This window comes from Homo sapiens, chromosome 12 (assembly GCF_000001405.40).
Source record: "Homo sapiens chromosome 12, GRCh38.p14 Primary Assembly".
Taxonomy (NCBI): Eukaryota; Metazoa; Chordata; class Mammalia; order Primates; family Hominidae; genus Homo; species Homo sapiens.
Window position 1 is genome coordinate 73306889 of NC_000012.12, and position 26387 is coordinate 73333275.

General features: G+C 35.9%; 1 long non-coding RNA gene across 2 annotated transcripts in view, besides 1 other annotated feature; it reads right to left on the minus strand.

Moving 5' to 3' along the window:
- Nucleotides 1-1299: 1299 nt before the first annotated feature.
- The window catches only part of LOC105369839 (uncharacterized), a 34784-nt gene continuing 9696 nt past the window's right edge, over nt 1300-26387 (minus strand). Inside the window, exons 1-3 of one of the 2 annotated variants that reach the window (XR_001749104.2) lie at nt 14230-14279; nt 10841-10918; nt 1300-1428 (exon numbers count right to left, since the gene is read on the minus strand). This is a non-coding gene — a long non-coding RNA (uncharacterized LOC105369839). Of the gene's footprint in view, nt 1429-10840; nt 10919-14229; nt 14280-26387 lie in introns of those variants that run through there. The other variant, XR_001749105.1, reaches the window with a different exon arrangement.
- Nucleotides 9043-9542: an enhancer, noted in NCBI's record as "H3K27ac hESC enhancer chr12:73709711-73710210 (GRCh37/hg19 assembly coordinates)". NCBI's record gives its function as "activates a minimal SCP1, AML or CMV promoter by ChIP-STARR-seq in primed H9 embryonic stem cells {active_cell/tissue: H9 hESC(primed)}" and the evidence as "EXISTENCE:reporter gene assay evidence [ECO:0000049][PMID:30033119]".

Sequence of the window (26387 nt, forward strand, 5' to 3'; positions counted from 1 at the left end):
TCAAATTTAAATAAATTCTTTTTAAATGCAACTAAGTCATGCTTGGAAGAGCAAAATGTTCTGTATGGAGTGCTAACTCTGTGTCACACACTGTTCTATGATGATAATCTATTGTGAACATTTTTTTATAGGAGTAAGTACAATTTTAAACAAAATCATTGTTATTTTTTTCCTGCTATTAAATTGTATAGATGTAATTTATGCCATTTAACAATTTTTCTCTCTTGGAAAGTTAGGTAGGTGGTTTCTAATTTTATCATATTATAACAAAGTTCTTTTGAGTATTCTCAGGAGGAAAAAAATAGTTTCTTTTATACCTGGATGGAGAGGTATGGGGCAATTCCTAGGAGTGAATTTGTTATAACAAAGATTGTGTGCATTAAAAAAAATTATAGGTATTAGAAAATTTTCCTTAAAAAAACCTTTATCACTTTTCTAGCCACATGACTGATGATATTACGTTCTACTCATGTCTAAGGAAGTGTCTCTCTGAAAAGGATTTAAGCGTAAATTTCCCAATTTACACTCACCAGACCTAGTAGAATTGTTTACTCAAAACCAATTTGCTGAGTAAGTATTTTAAATAAATTCCTTATACTTGAATTACAGTGTGGCAATTTTATACTCTGTTCTTCCTTTCCTTCCTACCACCTCATATATCAACCTTATTTTCTATATATGTGCCAGTCTTCTCTATTAGAAAATAAAATCCTGCCTTTTATCCTGAGTGTTTTATTCACCTTTATTTTCCTTTCAGCTCCTAGCACAATGTTTTAAAAATTCTAACTACTCAGCAGGTGTTTGCTGAATAAAAATTAGCCATGGAAAATACATACATACACTGTATGTATATATTTATATATATCCATATCCAACATATCAATGTGGATATATGTGTGTTCATTTACATGTCAACATATAAACTGATATAACAGTTTATAAATTCATATGCATATTCATATATAATTTAATACTAGAGCGATATTTCCTTTCTCAGTTGCATGCCAAATATTTTAAGCAGATACTGAGTTTCAAATCTAAGAATGCTAAACAGAAATGACATCTTTGTTTTAGGGGATCTTTTTTCTGAATTTGCAAAGACAATGCCACCTTAGATGTTTCTATCTCTAGAGGAGGCAAATTTAGATAAAAAGAAAAAGAAAACCCTAGAGTGTTCCATTAAATGAAATAAGTTTGGTGGCAATAAATTCACTGAAAGTGTAATGCAGACCATTTCATGCTAAACACCCAATACAGATTTTGCCTTCATGTAAATTTTGCTGGCTCTGCATACCTGGATAGAAACTGATAGTAACTTCCTAGCATCATCTTCTGGGCTTGCTTGGAGAACAGCTGTGATTTTTCTACTATTACAGCTGATGGTTGACAGCTAATCCTAATGGGAAAGCAATGCCACATTTGCTAATCCTAAAAGAGAAGCAAAACCACTTTCACTTTCAATCTGAAAATCCAGAATCAGATGAGTTTTTTTTTAAACGAGATGCCACTCTCAATTTTATCCCAGTAAATATAAGATTGTGTATGTTTATCTGTGAACATAAATATTTCAAGTCACTTGCTGTGTTTAAGAATGTATTTGAAGTTATTTTCCCCCATATTATTTAAATGACAGCCATTTTCACAAGTTTATTTAAAAGTCCCACAAAATATATCACAAACTATTAGAAAAGTGACAACTATTTCTAAACTACCAATTTATTTTTTCTTAAAATTTTAGGTTACATTATGCTGCTTAAAATTCAAATTAATAAATATAAATTCATATATTGTTTTCAAAATTGGGTTTACAAGAAGAAGACAGTATTAGGAACTAGATAGCTAATTTATATACTTATTGATAAAAAGTCATTGGCAACTAAGATTTAACAATATTTTATATGTTAGGAAACATTTTATCATATATATCATGGAGAAATCCACAAATAAGTTCTATTTTTATTAGAATATACATTTTGGCTTTGCAGATGATGTCACCTTCATTATGAAAGGATTGAGTCAGGTGTGTGGTAGAGCTGACTCACACTGGCCTAGCACTAGAGCTGATTATTAAACTTTCAAGTATTTTACCAGACAGTTGGTAGCTTAAAATGGGCCACATTGGGAGTATTTACACCATGGAAGTTGGCAAACAATACAATTCCACTCCACTCAACCCATACCATTGTAAACGTTTATCAGGACACCACTGGGTTGGAATTTGTTCTATAATCCTTGCTATTCACAAAATTCTAGAATTTATTTTCTTCTGATTTCTTCAAATATACAATAGTTACTATCCCAGAACTAGTGGAATTGAGATTTAAATACAAGCTTACCTATTAAAAAGTAGTCATTTCGACTATACTTTTATTTCTTTTCTTTTTTTCAGTTCTTTCTTTATGATTTTATACTTTTTTTTTCAACTTTCATATTAGATTCAGGAGACACATGTGCAGGATTTTTACTTGGGCATATTGTGCTACTAATGCTGAGGGTGTGAATGATCCTGTCAGCCTAATACCAAGCATAGTATCCAATAGGGCAGTTTTTCAAACCTTGCCCACTCCCTACCGCCACCATCTAGTAGTCCCCGGTTTCTAGTGTTGCTGTCGTTATGTCAATGAGTACCTACTGTTTAGATCCCACTTATAAGTGAAAACACATAGCATTTGGTTTTCTGTTTCTGTGTTAGTTTGTTTAGGGTAATGGCCTCCAGTTTCATCTGTGTTGCTGCAAAGGAAATAACTTCATTTTTATGGCTGTGTAATATTCCATAGGGTATATAGACCACATTTTCTTTCTCTAATTCACCATTGATGAGCACCTAGGTTGATTCTTTTCCTTTGCTATTGTGAATAGTGCTGTGATGAAAATGTGACTGCATGTGTCTTTTTGGTTAAAAGGATTGTTTTCTTTTGGGTACATACCCAATAACGAGATTGCTGGGTTTAATAGTAATTCTGTTTTAAGTTCTTTGAGAAATCTCCAAACTGCTTTTCACAGTGGCTGAAGCAATTTACATTCTTACTAACAGTGTATAAGCATTTCCTTTTCTCCACAGCCTTGCCAACGTCTGTCGTCACTGTTGTTTATGAATTTTTTTTTTTTTTTTTTGAGACAGAGTCTCACTCTGTTGCCCAGCCTGGAGTACAGTGGCACAATCTCGGCTCACTGCAAGCTCCTCCTCCGGGGTTCATGCCATTCCAAAGTGCTTGGGTTACCATACCCAGCAGTTTTTGACTTTTTAATAATAGCCATTCTGACTGGTGTGAGATAGTATCTCATTTTGGTTTTAATTTGCATTTCTCTGATGATTACTAATGTGGCATGCTCTTTCATATATGTGTTGGCCACTTTTTTGTCTTCTTTTGAGATGTGTGTGTTCATGCCTTTTGCCCACATTTAATGGTGGTGTTTTTTGCTTGTTGAATTGTTCAAATTTCTTATAGATGCTAGACATTAGACCTTTGTTGCATGCATGGTTTCTAAATATTTTCTCTCATGCTTTAGGTTGTCTGTTTACTTTGTAGATTGTTTTTGTTCAGAAGCTCTTTAGTTTAATTAGGTCTCACTTGTCAATTTTTGTTTTTGTTGGAATTGCTTCTGAGGACTCACTCATGTATTGTTTCCCAAGGCCAGTGTCTAGAATGGTGTTTCCTAGATTTTCTTTCTTTTATGATTCTGATAGTTTGAGGTTTTATATTAAAATATTTAATTCATATTGAGTTAATTTTTGTATATGATGTAAGGTAGAGGTCTAATTTTATTTGTCTGCCTGTGGTTAGCCAATTATCCCAGTGCAATTTACCGAATAGAGAGTCCTTTCCCCATTGCTTTGTCAACTTTGTCAAAGATCAGATAGCTGTAGGTGTGTGGGTTTGTTTCTGTGTTCTCTATGCTGTTCCATTAGTTTATGTGTCTGTTTTTATATAAGTACTATGCTGTTTTGGTTACTGTAACCTTATAGTATAGTTTCAAATTGGGTAATTTTCAATTTCTAGCTTTTGTTATTTTTGTTTAGGATTGCTTTGGCTATTTGGAATCATTTTTGGTTCCATAATTTTTTTTTCTTTTTTTTGAGATGGAGTCTCACTCTTATCACCCAGGCTGGAGTGCAGTGGTGCAATCTCTGCTCACTGCAAGCTCCACCTCCCAGGTTCACACCATTCTCCTGCCTCAGCCTCATGAGTAGCTGGGACTAGAGGCACCCACCACCACGCCCAGCTAATTTTTTGTATTTTTTAGTAGAGACAGGATTTCATCGTGTTAGCCAGGATGGTCTCAATCTCCTGACCTCGTGATCTGCCCACCTCGGCCTCCAAGAGTGCTGGGATTACAGGCATGAGCCACTGCGCCGGGCCTGGTTCCATATGAATTTTAAAATAGCTTTTTCTAGTTATGTGAAAGTAATATTGGTAGCTTTATAAGAATAGTGTTGAATCTGCAGATTGTTTTGAGCAGTATGGAAATTTCAATGATATTGATTCTTCCAATGCGTAATCATGGAATGTTTTTTCCATTTGTTTGTGTCATCTCTGATTTCTTGCAGCAGTGTTCTGTAGTTCTCCTTGTAGAGATCTTCCACCTCCTTGGTTAGATGTATTCCTATGGTTGTGTGTGTGTGTGTGTGTGTGTGTGTGTGTGTGTGTGTGTCTATTGTAAATTGAACTGCATTCTTGATTTAGCTCTCAGCTTTAACATTATTGGTGTATAGACATGTTACTGATTCTTGTACATTGATTTTCTATCCTGAAACTTTTCTGAAGTCTTTTATTATTTCCAGTACTCTTCTAGTGGAGTCTTTAGGGTTTTCTATGTAACATTCATGAAGAGAGATAGATTAAGTTCTTCTTTTGCTATTTGGATGTCTGCTATTTCTTTCTTTGCCTGACTGCTCTGGCTAGCACTTCCAGTACTATGCTGACTAGGAGTGGTGAGAATGGCACCCTTGTTTTCTTCTAGTTCTCAAGGTTCCAAGTTTTGCCTGTTCAGTCTAATATTGGCTGTGGGTTTGTTATAGATGGCTCTTATTATTTTAAGGTATGTTCTCTTGATGCCTGGTTTCTTGAGGGTTTTTATATAGAAAGGATGTTGGATTTTATCAAATCATTTTCTACATCTAATGTGATAATCTTATATTTTTTGTTAATCCTATTTATGTCGTGAATCACACTTAATGATTTGCTTATGTTACGACAGCCTTCCAGTCCAGGAATGAAGGCTACTTTACTGTGGTGAATTAACTCTTTGGTATGCTCTTGAATTCCATTTACTAGTGTTTTGTTGATGATTTTTGCATCTACGTTCATCAATCAGGGACATTGGCCTGTGGTTTTCCTTTTTCAATATATCTTTTCCAGGTTTGGTATCAGGATGATGTTGGCTTTGTAGAATGAGTTAGAGAGAAGTTCTTCATCTTCGTTTTGTTGGAAAAATCAGTAGAATTTTTTACTGAATTCTACTGAATTTTTTACTGAATTGTAACAATTCAGTAGAATTGGTACCGGCTCTTCTTTGTATGTCTGGAAGAATTTGGCTGTGCATCCATCTAGTCTGAGGCTTTTTTTTTTTATTGGTAAGCTTTTTATTACTTATTCTGTTTCAGAATTCAATATTGGTCTATTCAGTGTTTCAGTTTCTTTTTGATACAATCTTGGGAGGTGTGTTTCCAGAAATTTATACATTTCCTCTAGATTTTCTAGTTCGTATGCATGTAGGTGTACGTAAAAGTTTCTGAGGATCTTTTGTATTTCTCTGGGATCAGTTGTAATGTCACCTTTGTCATTTAAGCACCTTTGTCATTGTGCTTATTTGAAACTTTTCTTATTTCATTTTCTTTGTTAATCTATCTAGAAGTCTATCAATCTCATTTATCCTTTCAAATTTTCAACTTTTGGTTTCATTGATTTTTTGTATGTATTTGTGTGTCTCAATTTCAGTCAGTGCTACCTTGATTTTAGTTATTTCTTTTCTTCTGCCAGCTTTGAGTTTAGACTGTTTTTGTTTTTCTAGTTTCTTTAGGTATAATGAGAGATCACTAATATGAGATCTTTCTAACTTTTTAAGGTAGGTATTTAGAGCTATAAACTTTCCTGTTAACACTGCTTTTCCAGCATCCCAGACATTTTACTATATTGAGTCTCTGTTTTCATCTATTTTAAATAATTTTCTGATTTCTGCCTTAATTTTGTTGTTTACCCAAAAGTCATTCAGAAGCAAGTTTTTTAATTTCTGTATGATTATGTGGTTTTGAGAGACTTTCTTGGTATTAATTTCTATTCATATTCCATTGTGGTCAGAGAATATGGTTGGTATGATTCCAATTATTTAAAATTTATTGAGAATTGCTTTAGGGTGAGCTTGTGGTCAGTCTTGGAGTATGTTCCATGTGCAGGTGATATGAATGCATATTCTGTGGTTGATAGGTAGAGTATTCTATAGTTGTCTATAAGTTCTAATTGATCAAGTGTCAAGTTTAAGTCCAGAATTTCTTAGTTTCCTGCCTCTATGACCTGTCTAATGCCATAAGTGTTGAAGTCCTTTTCTATTATTGTGTGGCTAAGTCTTTTTGTAGGTCTAGAAGTTCTTATTTTATGAATCCAGGTGCTCCAATGTTGGCTGCATATATATTTAGGATTGTTAAGTCTTCTTGTTGCATTAAACCCTTTATCAGTATGTAGTGCTCTCTTTGTCCTTTTTTACTGTTATTTGTTTAAAGTCTGTTTATCTGATATGAGAATATTGACCCCTGCTCTTTTGTATTTTCTGTTTTCATGATAGATCTATCTCCAACCCTTTGCTTTGAGCCTATGGGCATTTTTAAATGTGAGATAGGTGTCTTGAAGATAGCAGATGAATGGGCCTTGTTTTTTTTAATTCAACTTGCCACTCCATGCCTTTGAAGTGGGGGTGTTTAGAACATTTACATTCAAGGTTTATATTGATATGTAAGGCTTCGATCTTATCATGAAGTTGTTAGCTGTTTGCTTTGTAATTTCCATTGCGTGGTTGCGTTACACCATCTGTAGGATATGTATTTAAGTGTATTTTTCTGGTAGCAGGTATTATTCTTTCATTCTTATGTTTAGAACTCTCTTATGAATTCTTGTAAGACTTGTCTAGTGGTAACAAATTCCCGTGGACTTACTTGTGTAGAAAAGCTTTTATTTCTCCTTTGCCTTTAGAGCTTAGTTTGGCAAGATATAAAATTCTTGGTTGAAATTTCTTTTCTTTAAGAATGCTGAAAATAGGCCCCCAGTCTCTCCTGGCTTTTAGATTTCTGTTGAGAAGTCCACTGTTAGCCTGATGGAGTTCCTTCTGTATGTAATTTGACCATTTTCAATAGCCACCTTTAAGATTTTTTCTTAAAAGAAAAAATCTTAGACCTTGGACCTTGGACACTCTGCTAACTATATGCCTTGGTGATGTTCATGTTGTATAGTATCTCTCACGTGTTCTCTGGATATTTTTGTATCTGGATCTCTACATGTCTGGCAAGATTAGAAAATTTTTCTTTAATTATTTCCTAAAATATATTTTCCAGGTTATTTACTTTTTGTCCTTCTCTCTCAGGAATGCCAATAATTTGTAGGTTTGGTCACTTTATATCATCTCACATTTCTCAAAACGTTTGTGCATTCTTAAAAGTTCTTTTTGCTTCATTTTTTTCTGGGTTAGTTTGAAAGTCTGGTCTTCGCGCTCTGATATTATTTCTTCTGCTTGTTCTAGTCTATTGATAAAGCTTTCAACTGTATTTTGAAATTTCTCAAGTGAGTTTTTCAACTGTGATTGATTTCTTTTCAAAATGTTTATCTCATCTTTCATTTCTTGGATTGCTTTAGAAGTTTCTTTGTGATTTGCAAGTTTGTCTTGCATATGGTTGAGCTTCCTTGCAACCCACACTTTGAATTATTTATGTTATTTCTGAGTTTCCATTCTCATTAGCAACCATTGCTGGAGAGCTAGTGTGATCCTTTGGTAGTGTCACCACATTTGTATTTTTCATTGTGCCAAGATTCTTGCCCTGGTTTCTTCTCATCTGGGGATGCTGGCACTTGTAATTTTTATAATTATTTTCATATGGGCAGAATTTTTCTTTGTCTTTCTTTTCCCTACAGTATTGTTTATCTTTCACTTTCCCTTCCTCCCCCACTTCCCAACTAGGGAGTACAACTGTAGAGAATGCTGGGCAGGGTCTTTTGGCTTTGCTTCTCTAGCCTTATGAACTTACGTCTGCAGGTTTACACTGGGCTGTGCACTTTGACCTATGAGCCATTAGTTGGTGCTTATAGGGAGGAACTGGCTGTAGCCAACATGGCTGTATATATATTTGAACCTAGTTTACCGGCAGAAACTCTTTTTTCCTCGGGCACTGGGATGATGCATGAAATACACAGGGTTCTGGGCTTCCTCCTCAGCTCTAGGGGTCTGGGGACTGTGATGGGTAAGGCTGGACTGGGCAGGTTTGCCTACAAGTCCCCTGATGGAAGGCACAAGCACCAGTGCCAAAGGAAAATCCACAGGTGACCACCAAGCACCCAGAAGTGTGCCTAGGCATGGATCTGAGTAACCTCGTTGGCCCCAAGTTGTCTGTATGAGGATGAGGGTGGCTTAAATTCTAATCCAACAGAGTGTGAGCTCCAGATTCCTGGAGGTGGGCCTGGACATAGAGTGGAGAGGGCTCTCCTGCACCAAGGTATTTGCACAGGAGAGGAGAGGCAACTCAGGCTGCTGAACTAGTCAAGCAGGTGCCATGAATGCCTGAAAATATACCTTGGCGTGTAACAGAGAGGGCTCCCTTGCACCAGGATCTCTGTATAGGAGGGATGGGGTGACTCAGGCTGCTGAATCAGGTAAGCAGGTGATCTGACTGCCTGGAGATCTGCCTGGGCATGGAGTAGAGAGAATCTTGTTCACAATCTATGTCCAGGATGAGTGGGGTGGCTCAGGCTGCTGACACAAATGAGCAGTTGCTCTGAATATCTGGAGATGTACCTGGGCATGAAGCAGAGAGCACCCCATTCCACCACAATCATGTCCAGGAAGTGTGAGGTGGTCCAGGAAAGTGGGTGCTCCTAATGCCTGGATTTATGCTTGGGGGTGGAGTAGAGTGGGCCCTGCTACAACATGATCTCAGAAGAGCAGGCTTGGGCACCCAACTATGGCAAATGCAGATCAGTTCCAGGTCACTAAGGTGGTCCTCGTTGCAAGTCCTGTTGACCTGAAAATACTGCAACTGTAGCAGCCCTCCTCCCACCCCAGGCCTGCAACTGAGGAGAGCATAATCCCATACCTACTTCTGATGGGATTTCCACAATTCTGGCTATGGAGGCCCCTATTCCACTCCAGAGCAGTTACTTCAATCTCTGGCCTGAGACTGAAATATCTACATGGCCACACAAGACTAAAATATCTCCATGGCCACACTGCTGGGTTGCCTTTCTTATGTGCATACATTAAAAATGGCATCCTGCTCTCAGTACCTGGTCTGGAAAAATGTTTGCAGCTTTTCCTCTTGTCCTTCCCTCACAGCATCTCCAACCCTGTCTTCAAGTTAGCTTCATGGCTTGAGAGAAACAACGTGCTCTCCTTCTGCCTGAGTTGCTTGGATCCCCAGTGGAAAAATGAGTGACAGAGGGAGTGACTGCTCACATACTAGGGCATCACTTACTTTTATCACCCAGACACCATCACAGGAGCTGTTTGCTGGGGTTCTCCTCCCTGTGATCTTGGGTATCCTTCACAGTTCAAGTGGATTCCCATTTTCCTTCTTGAATTAAAGTTCACAGAGTTGATCTTTCCATACTATCTTGCCATTTCCAAGTGGCTGAGGCATACTAAAACCTCTAATCTGCCATCTTGGAAAAAAAAATCTGTACTGCTATTTCTTATACCAATGAGGAATAAGTTTTACAAGTTTTGGGCTACTGGCTGAAGACTCAATGGCACAAAAGGGTTTCTACTGTCATGGATATCTTAGTCTAAGTGTGTTCATATTTTTCTCCTTTTTATTATGAAGAGGCAAAAAATATATAAATAAATATTCAGTGATGCTCAAAATAGTTATTATTAAATATTTGATTGAGAACATACAATCTTACTTAAATAATGTTATGTAGTATAGATATGATATTCCTGGTCTTCAGTTTCAAAACTTATTTTTAAAATGAGAAAATTTAAACTAGATGATTATATCTAAAGTTTCTTCTATCAGCAAAAGTCTATAGTTCTTTGGGTCAGATTGATATTTACAACACCCTGAATATACCTTTAGCATTCTTATACATTTTGGATGCTTTATTAATGATGCCTATGTTTTAATTCTGCATATATTGACCTATTGTCAGTGGGGAAGATATTTGTTTAGATACATTATACAAAATTAGAAGTCTAGGACTTTTGTAGAAGCTTGTCTGCAACACTACTGCCTAAAATAAGACAAAACTGTTAGCTGTTTAAACTGGACTGGCCTATTCTTAGAACAGAGAGACCATTTCAATGGCTTGTAAGCCAATTCATCATCCCAGTTTCTGGACTGTAAAACTTCTTGGGCGAGTTTCAAACCAGGGAATGTTGGAGCTCAGAAAATAATACACCATAATGAAGGCATTAGAAGCAGCCTAAAAGCAAAAGTTTCTCCTTTACCTTCTCCTGCCTTCCTGTCTCTCACATCCTGTTCTCCACAAGGCCAGCCATAGATACTGGAATCTCTCTTTCCCAAGATGTGTAGCAGAAACCAGAATGTTTTTTCCTCAGTCATCCATAAAACCTGAAAATATCACTTTAACTTTTTTTCACCTTTCTGTGTAAAAAATGGACATAAAGAAATTCTCTGACTTACCTTGTTTGACTGTAGGTCATAAGATCAACATTCTAGAGAGGATCCTGTCCCGCTCTCAGAGGAAGGAATTCTGGAATGCTGCACAGAAAAGCCAAAAGGAATCTAAACAGAGGTCTTGCTGGCTTTCCCCGCTCAGTCTATTAACATTAGCTCATACCCTTTTTGTCCAATCATATTTCTACACTGCTGTCCATACTTCATTGAACCTAAGCATAAAAATAGATAATTTTCCTTGTATCTTTGGGTCTTTATTCTGAACATTCCCATGTTACATAAAAAATGATCAAATACATTTGTTATGTTTTTCTCTTGTTAACCTGTTTTCTATTATAGGAGTGTAGCCATGATCCTTATGATGGAGATGAAAGTGATCACACTCAGCCCCTATACTTGTGAACTTGAGTATCAGTTATATTGATAAGAATGAATTACATTTAAAGACATATATATTCGAGTTTAAGAAAACTATATATATAATGTATTACTTTAGATGTTGATACCCACAGAAAAGAGCTTCAATAAGTTAAAAAATTTTGTAAAGGCTCTGAAGTTAATAACACTTCAAAGTTGAAAAGCTGTCTACTCCTAGTGGCATAGATAGTTTCTGTAGCATGCCATTACATTTTTAATTTTTATTTTTTATTTATTTTTTTTTTGAGATGGAGTCTCACTCTGTCGCCCAGGCTGGAGTGCAATGGCGCGATCTTGGCTCACTGCAAGCTCTGCCTCCCAGGTTCACGCCATTCTCCTGCCTCAGCCTCCCGAGTAGCTGGGACTACAGGTGCATGTCACCATGCCCAGATAATTTTTTGTATTTTTAGTAGAGACAGGGTTTCACCATGTTAGCCAGGATGGTCTCGATCTCCTGACCTCGTGATCCACCTGCCTCGACCTCCCAAAGTTCTTTCATTTTACAGTATGTACAAACTTTAGAATGATCACATTTGGATACAAACCAAAAATTATTTGGTTAAATACTTGATTTTCTAAAATTGATAGGTAAATATAATTGCTTTCTAAAGTGTACTTTAATGCTTTTAGAAATATAAACCTTTAATTGGAGAGTGAAAAAACATTGTCCAGAACTGTTTTTTCACTTAGTCAGAGTACACATACTTTTGAAAAGCATGTTAAGTCTACTTCAAGGTTTCAACAGAGTTCTTTTCAATTATTTTAAATTTAATCACCACATTACATAATATTAATCTTACACAAAATATAGAAATTATGACAGATTTAAATAAAAAATAGCTCCTAGATATAAAATCTAATTCTGCCTCCCTGAGTTCCTCCCTCAAAGATGACTTAAATAGGTGGCCCACTTTGAGTGGAATATAATATTGTCCACGGCTGCCAATCCCCAGAACATGTACATTAAAAATCAAATCACTGCTGAATTTGAGATTCTGACCAGCCTAATTTTTTCTTTTCTTCAAGACAAAAATGTATATGTTTTTTAATTTTTACACATTTCTTTTTCTTTTTTTTTTTTTTGACAGGGTCTCCCCCTGTCACCCAGGCTGGATTGCAGTGGTGTGAACATAGCTCACTGCAGCTTCAGTCTCGTGGGCTCAAGCTATCCTCCTGCCTCAGCCTCCTAAGTAGCTTGGATCACTGGCACACACCACCACACCCAGCTGCTTTTTTTTTGTACAGGCAAGATCTTGCCCTATTGCCCAGGCTGGCCTCGAGCTCCTGGCCTCAAGCAGTTTTTCCACCTTGGCCTCCCCAAGTGCTGGGATTCTAAGTGTCAGCAACTGTGCCTGGCTATCTATTAATTTTTAAACTTAAATTAAGCTCCTTTCTTTACCTCCTGTCCTGCTTTTACTGTTTGTTAATTGATGTGACATTACTGTTCCTCCTGCTGTTTTCCAAGAAGGGAAGCTATTAACATATTCTAGTTTCCATAGAAACAAGTTTTGTCCACTGTTGATGGTTGAGCATATATTTGCTTATAAGTTAACTTTTATCTATGTCCTTATAAAGTTAGCTTAGAATACTTGCTTCTCTTTAGAGGAAACTTTTTTGAGTATTTTTAGTTTACAGATCTTGTAATAATATGAAATTGCTAAGAAGTTAATAAAGCCTTCAAGATTCAGATGCTACCATTCCCATAGATCAAATTTATCAGTATAGTTACTATATGAGATTAATATGCACTCATATTTAAATTAGGTGGGCATTTGGATATAAATTCCAGCTAATTTGTTATAATATGAGAATAATATGCACTCATATTTAAATAAGGTGGTCATTTGGATATAAATTCCAGCTAAAATGTGTTAAGTGCTTTACTTAGTTTGGTAGAGATGAGAACTATCTTAACAGTCTAATAATTTTTACAAAATGATCTGTGGGATGAGCATAGCAATTAAACTAGAACAGAGGATACAGAACTGATCTAAGATATATGGTTATTCCATTAAATATATAATATAGCTACCATATGTTATTTTCACTGAATGACATTTTAATATTTAATTGTAATATAATATAGTCTTATTTATAAAAAGTTTTATTTTGATTTAAAGTAATATATGATTTAATAAGTGAGTTAACTGTGCAGGTTAATATACATATTGCACAAGGGCATGCTAATGCAATTAAAAATTAGCTAAGGCAAAAATTATCATTAAATATTTATAGAAAGCTAAAACCAAGGATTATTTTTGTATTTGCTATGCCTAATATCTGTTTTTCAAAGACATGTTTCATATCCATGTTCTTTTACAACTTAACTCTTTCCTGGTGTAAAGTATTATTTGAATGCAAAGATAATTCTGCATTTAACAAAAAGGTTCATAAATTAACATTTACCAAGACCATTCAGGTTAACTTTCATATCATTATTTAAAGCTTAATGAAAGCTTTTTTATTTTTTTTTCTTTTGAGACAGGGACTCAAAAAATAAGAAGTTAAGCTTTTCTAAAAGGCTCATTTGTAAATATGTCACATCTCTTGCCATTAATTTATTAACAAGATTATTCTTTTTAATAAGGAAGGGCTATACAAATTTTCTCTCTCTCCCCCCACCTCTGTGCATACTTCCTCATCAAATGTTTCAAAACTGTTCATTGTTTTTTCCAAAGAATTTATATTTTAAATAAATATAATATTTTTAATTCTAAAAACTATGGCAAGTTAGAACTGAAAGTGATTTTGTTGAGTTTACTTCTGAGAAAATAGACGTAGGATCTAAGATGACTGACTAGCTGCAGCCATGTGGAAGAGCTCCCACTGAGGGACTAAGATTACTGGCATGGTTTTAACAGATCTTTTGAGGGAAGGCACTGAGAATAGACAGAGGGAAGACACAGAAGTTGAGCTGAAGGGAGAAAAAGCTGGGAACCCAGTACAGGGCTACCACACACCACAACTGATTTTCAGACCTCAGCAGCTCCAGAGAAACGGTTGAACTGGAGAAACCCACTGTCACCATGGGCCTCCGGAACCCCACAGGAGAAGACTCCTTGATCACCATGGACACTCAAGTTGGCAGGGAGAGCTGCTTATAGAAGTGATAAGGGCAGCAATCCAGCTGATGTGGAGCCCAGAGGGTTGATGTGGGAGCATCTGTAGCAGAACACAGCCAGGGACAGCTATCTCCCTAGGCTTTACTTGCTCCCATAGGAGGTCTTAGCCCTAAGGGAACAGTTAGACCTGATCTCTGCAGGGTGGTCTTGCCCATTAGATAGGGCTGACCTGAGCATCCCTTGGTCTATTAGCCAACTTGTGGGACCCCAGCCCAGCTGTGCCTGCTTGCAGGGAAGTCTTGGGTGCCCTGGGGCCTACACCATAGCTTCTGCACTAGAAGACCATGCCTGACCAGTAGAGAAGCCAATGAGGTAGCCCCTATGGCCACAGAAAAGCCTGCTCCTTCCCTCCCCATACTGCAGCTTCCCCTGGGCCCATGGCAACTCCCCATATCGCTTTGCTGGTACATGTCTGCCTGGGCATGTTTTTGTTTCCTTGCCCCACCAACATGCAGGAGTATAGTCTGCCCCCTGCCCCAACCAACCACCATTGGAGATGAAGCCTTGGTGGGCACAGAGCTGGCAAACCCTGTTCCTGCCAATGCCCTGCCCTTGTGCTAACACTGCACAGGGAATAGTGGATCTTTCCAGACCCTGAATGATCATGTGTGCTTGTGGTGTACAGAGAAGCCACCCAGAACTGTGTCCACCAGCACCACATCCCCAAGCCTACACCACCTCCAGTGCAACCGACCACATACAAAGTATCTGTCAGTAGCCGCCGTTGCTCCCACAACTGTTACCTCTGCCATTGTGGTGAACACCCACGGAAAAGCAGGCACCCCACCACTTATTAGCCCTTTGCCACAGCTGCTGCATCTCAAACCTCTCTCCAGTGCAGTGGACTCCAAACCTCTAGGAGCCAGAGAACAAAGTTGGGGCCCAATACAAGTCCCCCAGAGTTAAAGCACACAGTCCAGGTGTTGGTAGCTGAGTTTTGGACCCCTAAAATCTCTCAGAAATGAAGCTAGTCAGAAATGCCACAATCAAACCCTCAGGGTCATCAAAAAGGAAAAAAGAAAAAAAAATCTAAGGGTTAGCAACCTCAAAGATTGAAGCTATTAATAGATGAACCCACGAAGATGAGTAAAAATCAGCACAAGAACCCTGAAAACTCAGAAAGCCAGAGTGCCTTCTTTCTTCCAAATGACCACATCACCTCTTCAACAAGGGTTCTGAACTTGGCTGAGAGGGCTGAAATGACAGAAATAGAATTGAGAATATGAATAGGAAGGAAGATCATTCAGCTACAGGAGTGCATTGAAACCCAATGCAGGGAAGCCAAAAATCATGAAAAAAACATTGCAAGGGCTGACAAACAATATAGCCAATATAAAGAAGAACATAACTGACCTGAGAGAGTAGAAAAACACACCACAAGAATTTCATAATGCAATTACAAGTATTAATAGCAGAATAGATAAATGAAGAAAGGAATCTCAGAATGTGAAGACTGCCTTTCTGAATAAGACAGTAAGACAAGAATAGAGGCAAAATAATGAAAAGGAATGAATGAAAACTCCAAAAAATTTGGGATTATATAAAAAGATAGAATCTATGACTCATTGGTGTCCCTGAAAGAGATGAGGAGATTGGAACAAATTTGCAAAACACATTTCAAAATATTATCCATGAGAACTTCTCCAACCTAGCTAGAGAGGCCAACATTCAAATTCAGGAAATGCAGAGAATTCCAGTAAGATACTTTACAAGAAAATCATCCTTAAGACACATAATCATCAGATTCTCCAAGGTTGAAATGAAAGAAAAAATGTTAAAGGTAGCTAGCAAGAAAGGTAAGGTCACCTACAAAGGGAAGCCCTTCAGACTAACAGCAGACCTCTCAGCAGAAACCCTGCAAACCAGAAGAGATTGAAGCCCAATATTGAACTTTTTTTTTCCTTGAAACAGGATCTCACTTTGTCACCCAGGCTGTAGTGCAGTGGCACGATCTTAGCTCACTGTAGTTTTTACCTCTCGAGTTCAAGCAATCCTCTTGCCTCAGCCCCTCAAGTAGCTGGGACTACATTTGTGTGTGACCATGCCTGGCTATTTTTTTTTCTTTTGTATTTTTTGTAGAGATGAGTTTTGCCATGTTTCCCAGGCTGGGCTCAAACTCCTGAGCTCAAGTGATCCACCCCCCCTCAGCCTCCCAAAGTGCTAGGAATACAGGCATGAGCCACTGTACCCTGCCCAATATTGGATATTCTTAAAGAAAATAAATTTCAACCCAGAATCTCATATTTGAGCAAACTAAGCTTTATCAATGAAAGGAAAATGAGATTCTTTTCAGATAAGCAAATCCTGAGGAAATTTGTTGCCACTAGACCTGCCTTACAAGACGTCCTAAAAAAAACACTAAATATGGGAAGAAAAGACCATTACCAGCCACTACAAAAACACACTGAAATATACAGACCAGGGACACTATGAAGCAAACACATAAACAAGTCTGCAAAATAATCAGCTAACATAATGATGACAGGATAAAATCTACACATATCAATACTAACCTTAAATTTAAATGGGCTAAATGCCTCAATTAGAAGACAAAGAGTGGTGAGCTGGATAAACAACCAAGACCCTTTGGTATGCTGTCTTCAAGAGACCCATCTCACATGCAAAGACACATATAGGCTCAAAATAAGGGGATGGGGAAAAATATCTCAAGCAAATGGAAAATAGAAAAAAGCAGACATTGCAATCCTAGTTACTGACAAAACAGACTTTAAACCAACAAAGATCAAAAAGACAAAGAAGGGCATTACATAATAGTAAAGGTTCAATTCAACAAGAATATCTAACTTTATTAAATCTGTATGCATCCAACACAGGAGAACACAGATTCACAAAGCTCTTAGGGACCTTCAGAAAGACTTAGACTCCCTCACAATAATAGTCAAAGACTTTAACACCCCACTGACAATATTAGAGAGATCATCCAGACAGTAAATTAACAAAGATATTCAGGAACTGAAGTCAGCACTGGATAAAATAGACCTGACAGATACCTATACAAGTTGCCATCCCAAAACAACATAATATACATTCATCTCATTGCCACATGGCAGATACTATAAAATCAATCATAAAATCAAAAGTAAAACACTCCTCAGCAAATGCAAAATAACTGAAATCATAATAAACACTCTTTGATCACAGTGCAATCAAATTAGTTATCAAGATTAAGAAATTCACTCAAAACCATACAATCATATGGAAATTAAATAACCTGTTCCTGAATGAATTTTAGGTTAATAAGGAAATTAAGGCAGATATCAAGAAGTTCTTTGAAACTAGTGAGAACAAAGATACAACATACCAGAATCTCTGGGACATGGCTGAGGCAATATTAAGAGGGAAATTTATAGCACTAAATTCCCACATCAAAAACCTAGAAAGATCTCAAGTTAATAACCTAATATCACAACTAAAAGAACTACAGAACCAAGAGAAAATAAAATCTCATAACTAGTAGAAGATGAGAAATAACCAAAATAAGATCTGAACTGAAGGATACAGAGACATAAAAAACCATTCAAATGATCAACAAATCCAGGAGCAGATATTTTGAAAAAGTCCATAAAATAAATAGACAATTAGCTAGACTAACAAAGAAGAAAAGGGAGAAGATTCAAATAAAGTCAATCAGAAATGATAGGGGGATATTACCACTGACCCCACAGAAATGCAAACAACCATTAGAGAATATTATGAATACCTCTATGCACATAAATGAAAAATTGAGAAGAAATGGATAAATTCCTGGATATATACACCCTGCCAAGACTGAACCAGGAAGAAATTAAATCCCTGAACAGACCAATAATGAGCTCACAAAGTCAGGAATAAATAGCCTACCAACCAGAAAAGGCTCAAAATCAGATGGATTCACAGCTAAATTCTACCACCTGTACAAAGAAGAGCTGACACCATTCCTGCTAGAACTACTCCAGAATATTGAGGGAAGGAAGGAACTTGCTAACTCATTCTATGAGGCCATCATCATCCTGATATCAAAACTTGGCAGAGATGTAACAGAAAAAGAAAACTTCAGACAAATATTTTTTATAAACATCAATGCAAAAATTCTCAACAAAATACTGGGAAACCAAATCAAGCAGCACATCAAAAAGCTTATTTACCATGAACAAGTAGGCTTTATCCTTGAGATGCAAGTTTGGTTCAACATACACAAACAAATTAATAAATGTGATTCATCAAATAAACAGAACTAAAAACAAAAACCACATGATTATATCAATAGTACAGAAAAGACTTCTAATAACATTTAACATCCCTTCATGCTAAAAATTTTTAATCAAACTTGGTATTGAAGGAACATACCTCAAAATAATAAGAGCCATCTATGATGAACCCACAGCCAACATCATACTGAATGGGCCAGAGCTGGAAGCATTCCCCTTTAAAAACCAGCAGAAGATAAGAATGCCCTCTCTCATCACTCCTATTCAACATATGATTGGAAATCCTGGCCAAGGCAATGAGGCAAGAAAAAGAAAGGCATCTAAATAGGAAGGGAGGAAGTCAAAATATCCTGCTTACAGATGACATAATCCTATATCTAGAAAGACCCATTGTCTCAGCCCAAAAGCTTTTTAAGCTAATAAATAACTTCAGCAAAGTCTCAGGATACAAAATCAATGTCCAAAAGTCACTAATGTTCCTATACACCAAAAACAGTCAAGTTGAGAGTCAGATCAGAAAGGCACTCTCATTCACAATTGCCACAAATAGAATAAAATACCTAGGATACAGCTAACAAGGGAGGTGAAAGATCTCTACAAGGAGAACTACAAAACACTGCTCAAAGAAAGCAGAGATGTCACAAACAAATGGAAAAACATTCCACGCTAATGGATAGGAAGAATCAATACTGTAAAATAACCATACTGCTTAAAGCAATTTATAGATTCAATGCTATTCCTATAAAACTACCTATTGATATTCTTCATAGAACTAGAAAAAAACTATTCAAAAATTCATATGAAACCAAAATAGATCCAGAATGGCCAAGGCAATCCTAAACAGAAAGAACAAAGCTGGAGGCATCACTGTATTTCAAACTATACTATAGGACTGCAGTAGCCCAAACATAGTTGGCACAAAAAAAATACACGTAGACCAATGGAACAGAATAGAGAACGCAGAAATAAGTCCTCACACCTACAACTATCTGATCTTTGAAAAACCTGGCAAAAACAAGCAAAGGGGAAAGGATTCCCTATTTAATAAATAGAGCTGAGATAACTGGCTAGCCATATGCAGAAGATTGAAACTAGAACCCCTCCCTTATACCATATACAAAAATTAACTTAAGATGGATTAAATACTTAAATGTGAAACCCCAAATTATGAAAACCCTAGAAGACAGCCTAAGCAATACCGTTCAGTACAAAGGAATGGGCAAAAATTTAATGACGAAGATGTCAAAAGCAATTGCAACAAAAGCAAAAATTAACAAATGGGATCTAGCCGAACTAAAGAGATTCTGCACAGCAAAGGGAACTGTCAACAAAGTAAACAGACAACCTACAGAATGGGAGAAAAGTTTTGCAAACTATGCATCTGGCAAAGGTCAAAGAACATGAACAGATACTTCTCAAAAGAAGGCATGCACATGGCCAACAATCATATGAAAAAAGAAATCTATCAAAACCACAATGAAATACCATCTCATACCAGTCAAAATATCTATTATTAAAAAGAACAAAATAACAGATGCTGGTGAGGTTGTGGAGCAAAAGGAATGTTTATACACCATTGGTGGGAGTGTAAATTAGTTCAACCATTGTGAAAGACAGTGTGGCGATTCCTCAAAGACCTATAAAGAGATACACCATTCAACCAAGCAATCTCAATACTGGGATATATCCAAAGGAATATGAATCATTCTATTATAAAGAGACATGCAGGTGTGTGTTCATTGTAGCACAGTTCATTACAACAAAGACGTGGAATCAACCTAAATGCCCATCAATATTAGACTGGATAAAAATGTGGTATATATACACCATGGAATACTATGCAGTCATAAAAATGAAGGAATCATGTCCTTTGCAGGAACATGGATGGAGCTGGAGGTCATTCATTATCCTTAGCAAACTAACACAGGGACAGAAAACCAAATACCAGGTGTTCTCACTTATAAGTGGGAGCTAAATGATGAAAACGTATGGACATATAGAAGGGAACAACACACACTGCATATAGGGGCCTATTGGAAGGCCAAGGATGGGAGGAGATAGAGGATCAGGAAAAATAACTAATGGGTACTAGACTTAATACCTGTGTGACAAAATAATCTCTACAACAAATCCCCATGACACAAGTTTATATATTGTTATACATAAGTTATATATGTTATATATACACAATATACATATTATATATACCTATATAATAAACCTGCACATGTACCCTGACTTAAAAGTTAGAAAAAAGAAAATAGATATAGTCATACAGTTATTTGACAGCCTGTAGATTAATAATCATATGCCTGTGTGAATAATAGATATTTTAAAATAACTGTTATTTCTATTTTCAGTCTCATCAAATATGCTTAGTATCTGCTTGTCATTGACAGTGTTTATTGCCATATAAAGAAAAACAGACATGTGACTTATATCTAATATTCTTATTTTTAATAAAAAAGAAAGTTGTTTCAAAGCTTTAGTGTGCATAACAATCAACTGGGGTTTTTGTTAAAAAAAAAAAGTTTTCACAGTCCACCAGCAGTGATCTGACTTGTTAAGTATTAGGAGGAGAGACCCAAGATTTGATTTACCCAGGCCTTCAAGTGGCTCTGATGAAAATGGTTTCTAGAGCACATGTGACAAAACAAGTTTCAAACAATAAAACATAGTTTTTAGAACCAAAAAGCAACCAGAAAACCTATTTTTGTTTTCTGATATTGTATTCTGGTTACAGGATTTTAATCAAAAATCAGCTAGGATAACCCCCATTGTCCTTGTGGCAGGTCAGGTCTCACTAACAACTGTTTCAGTACTGAGTGGTTAAGTTAAATGTTAAAAGCAAGTATCCTTATACAAAGGCTGGCCTGTAACAAAAACCCATCAAGAGTTTTGCCTAGGCCTTTTCTGGGCCTTAAAGTATGACAAAATAAGGAAGGAATTCTTAACAGGACCCATTTAGAATTAAACAAGTTTTATTATGGGTCTGAAGAAACTCCCCAGGCCTCCACAAATAAGTTTATTGGGGGCCTAAAGAAACTCCTCAAACCTCCATGATTTAGCAGGAGACAAGATAAGGGTAATCATCCTGGCACCTGGACCCATTCAGATTAAATAAATTTACTGAGGCTCCAGAGGAAGGTCTTCAGGACTCACATCTTAGTTATAGACTAAAAGAAGTTAATCACTTATGTCTTTAGATAAATGCACACTTACACATAGACATATAGCTTAGAATGTATATAAGCTCCGGAAATCTTTGTAATTTTGAGTTGGCCTGCCAATAATTTCCAGGCCTTCTCTCTGTAACCAGTAACAGAAATAACAACTCTCTTCTTCCCCAGTTTATCTGCATCTCATTATTGGGCTGCGAAAAATAGTAGCCCAACCCTCAGTTTGGTCCAGGAACATTCTTGCAGATCTTCAGTGCTCATTCTTTCCTCCCCATTTTATCTACTTTTTTTTTTGTTTTCAGTGAGGGAATTAATTACATTGGGCAGCCATTACCGCACCTTTAAGTTTCTCCTCCTTTTCTCCCATAATTCGGGAGTGGTTGCCAAATGAAACAATAGGTTCAAATGGAAGGATAGTACCCTAAATCTGTTTTTTTGTTTTTTTTTTTAAATCTAGGCTGACCGTGTCTGACCAGGAAAGGCTTTGAGTGACAATCTTATCTTCTGCTGTTTAAAATACAGAAATATTGGCTTTTCCATGTCTCGGAGTCTCTGATTCTCAGTAATTTAAATTACAGGCCACAGGTAAAGAGAACCTTGCTTCCACCTTGCCTGCAAACTGGCAGATTCTTGCTTGGGCTTATCTCTTTCTTATAGGATTTTGCTAAAATTAGCAAGGAATGGAGCTCTATTTTTCTAGCCTCTTCTCACACAGCTACAAGTTCAAAAACATTTGGTATTACTCCCAGTTATCACTGCTTATAGTTCAAGTGTTTTTCCACATGACAAGTGTCACTGGCATATCGGCATATGGTATACCCTTTCTCTGTCTACTGTCAGAACACAAAGACAATGTCAGATATTTTAAACTTTTATTGCTGCAAAACCCCACTACTAGGTACTAATTTCTGAATTAATGTTTTAGTGTCCAAGCTATACTGCTGAAGTTTTACACGAACCAGTATAAAAGTGAATTGTTCAAGGTTGGTGAAAATGATCTAACCCATAAAAACATTTAGGAATCCAGGTTCTTTTCATTTTGCTCTTATCTCCAGGTGTTCTGTTCTTGATCATATCATTAATGCTGACTTGCATCCATATCCACCTTCCAGACCAGAAGAAGGTGAAGAAGGAAATTCATGATCCAGAGCTTGCTCATATAATTCTTGCATATACCATTGGCCCAAATTGAGTACATGGACACATCTACACTAAAAAAAGACTAAGAAATATATCTTGCTAAGTTATCATCTTGTAACTAAAACTTAGAGGTTCTATTATTAAAGGGAAAAAAAGAATATGAATGCAAGAGAACAATTAGTACTTAAAGCCAAAAATGGTAGTTGTGAAGAAAAATGAGAATATTGAATTAAAAATTGCTATTTGCTATGCAAATGCTCTGTTTTTTTCTTAAAGTATGATATTTCTCATAGTTGAAATACTCTTTTCCTGATCTATTTTCACTGTGCGATGTTCCTGCTAAGGAAACTACAGTGGTTTTGTTTTAATATTTCCTAATTCGACAAATATAAGGCCTTCTGAGTAGCATTCTAGTTCCCCAATAACTACTTCTCCACTTGTCTATCCTCATCTATGAAACAATTTTACTAAGCTCTAAGGAACACTTATGCATTCCCCCCTTTGTGTTAACAAAGACTTTTCCCCTAATATCTGCATTCATCTTTATCATTGTCAAAACCTGATTTAAAATTTGTCTTCACAAAGTACTAGATTAACCCTATATAATTTGCCAATTCTCACATAATCACTTTTTACTATGCTAATATGCATGTACATTGAATAATTTAAAAACATTTCAAATTTGCATCCTATCTGCCAACTTGACTATAAGCTCCTCAAGGACAGGAATAAAGTGCTTCTTTAGAACACACCATTAATATACAAAACAATGCAAATATTCCTTGTTAAAAAACTGTCCCTCCCATGAAAGTTACATTAAATTTGTGCAGAATATCACAGTGTTTGGATATGAGAGTAAGTACTCTTCCTAGATCTGCCATTTAACTTATAGTGTGAGATCTTGAACGAATAACCTGATATTTTGTGCTGCAATTGCTGTTACTCTAATGATAAAGTCTAAAGCTCTGCCAGCAGAGAAGTTCCTTAAGGCTAAGTTTGGTGGCAGTAGCATACAGGTTATTCAGTTTTAACATTTAGAATGCTTAACGGTATCCTGTTTCTGTGTAAAAGTTTATATTATTTATAAGTATTTAACATGCATTTTGTCATTATATTAGAAAGCATTGGCATGAGTATCAACTAACTCCTAGTGATAGTGCTCAACTGCTTTCTCCATGGGTCTCTAGAGCCATATAAAAAAGATAATTCATATAATAGGCCTATTAAATACATTTTTAAAAATTATCTTACTAATGAGAATTATTTGATTAAAGAAATATATCATGAGCCATGACCTAAGGCCCAACAATCTCAGAATCTGTAAAACCAAAAGTGAATCATTGCCATACACAGTTCTTACTGACTCAGCACTTTCATGCAGAATAGTTCATATAAAATAATATGTTAAGTTTATTTGACCTCTAATGTCCCCTTCAGCTGTAACATTCAGTGATTCATACTACAGAAAGTAAATGTTTCTTAATATTTCTAAATGTCAGTACTATTTATTCACATTATAATTTTTCTAGATTAACTCAAACATATCACATGAAAAAACCATGAATCATTTGAATTCAATGTATCTTATGTTTCAAATAAATCTTTTAAAATATACCTTAGTCATACAATTTTAGATCTTAGTGAGCCTTCTAGAAATACCAAAAATAACTAGCCATCCTGGAAATAAATTCGGGTGTTTCTGTTGGCTTCAGATAACAGATATTTCATTTTCTATTTTTGTGTCCTGAATGTAAAATGGTTTTTTGTAAACAATGACATTTGTATCATGAGATAATACTAGGAAATACTAATATTTGGGCTTTTACCTTGTACTCATTTATAAGAAACATTTTTTAGTCAGAAGACAAATTTACCTGCCTTCCCTTATGTTCTCGGAGGTTCCATGTTCTTCTCCTGAACTTGTCAGTAAATTATCTCAACTTATAAAATTGGGCTTTAAAAAAAATCCAAGAAATTGCTATCTAATAAAAAATTAAAAAGTTAGAAAAATAAGAAATTGTATTTTAATGGACTCATGGCAAGAAACTTGAATCCGATTGTTAATTAATTTATCCACCCAGCACTAACTTATTTCATGAGATGTTGCCTATCATTTGTTACAAGCCTGGTCCTTTATCTGCTCTTTAATTCTGCAAGAAATTACATGTTTCTTACCAAGTTAATTGGAATTGGGTTCTGTACACCTGCAATGAAATAACCCAAACAAATCCAAGAATTTGTTTGTTTGTTATTTACTTTTAAATAGAGGGATAAGAAGTAGAAGGAGAAGCCCTACAGTAAATAGTTGGCAAACACAAGGAAGATAGAGATTTATTAAAGGTCTTACCAAGATGTGATTTATTTTAGTTCTAGATTGAATTCAAGAAATAAACTCTCACTCGGGGATAGGATGAGGAAACATTCTCTTAGAGAAGAAATTATTTTAAGATTCTATATTTTTTTATTTTAATACAGGTGACTAGCACTGCATAGAGACAGGAATATATGACCATATCACAATATAAATAGACTCTAAGTGATACTCGTAAGAAAGTTATCACACTCAGTTCTTTAAAATAACTATGACTAATATACTTAAAAATCTAGAAAAATTATGGAGAAAGATGAAAAATTGAGAATGTCACTAGAAACTGTGAATCTAAAAATTAACCAAATGAAAATTTCAGACCTGAACAACATAATAAATATAATTACTAAAATTACTAAAAGCAAACTATATATAAGAGAAACTGAATTTGTATAGTAAAAGACATATTAATATGAGTTATAAATCTGAAAATCTAGAAAGAATACAAATGTATAAAATTGATTATGAGGAATTTTGAAAAAAGTGAAAATACATATCCTTTTTTCCTCATAGTAAAAGGTATTCCTAGGAGAAAGGGAGAGAGCAGATGGGGCAGAATATTAAATGTCGAAAAATTGTCCAAAACTGCTGAAAGACATGAACTCAGAGATTCATGAAGAACTGTAGATCATGTGCTGCATGAAAAAAAAAAGAAAAGAAAAATCACATTGAGGCACACCATAATAATATTGCCAAAAGAAAACAAAAAAAGAGTAAACTTTGCAGGCAGCCAGGAGAAAAAAGAGACTTCCTTTCATGGGAGAAAAAAATAACAATGACAAATAATTTGTCAAAATAAATGATGAAAGAAGATGGGGAATTACATTGCTGAATTTTGAAATAAAATATCAGTTACCCTTAAATCCTACTTTCAGTGAAAATAATCTTTAAAACTGAAGATAAGTATTCTTTTTATGGTTAGGATGTAGACATAAAAATGACAAGTTACCATCAGTTACACCCTAACACAGAGTAAAAGCTATAAAAGATGTAACATCATAGTTTTCTTGAATATATCAGAAAGCCAAAGAGAAGAAATCCAAATTAACTAAAATGCAGAATATGCAACCCTCTTCAAAAAATCATAATTGCTTGTGTCCTTGGTGAAGCAACAGAAGG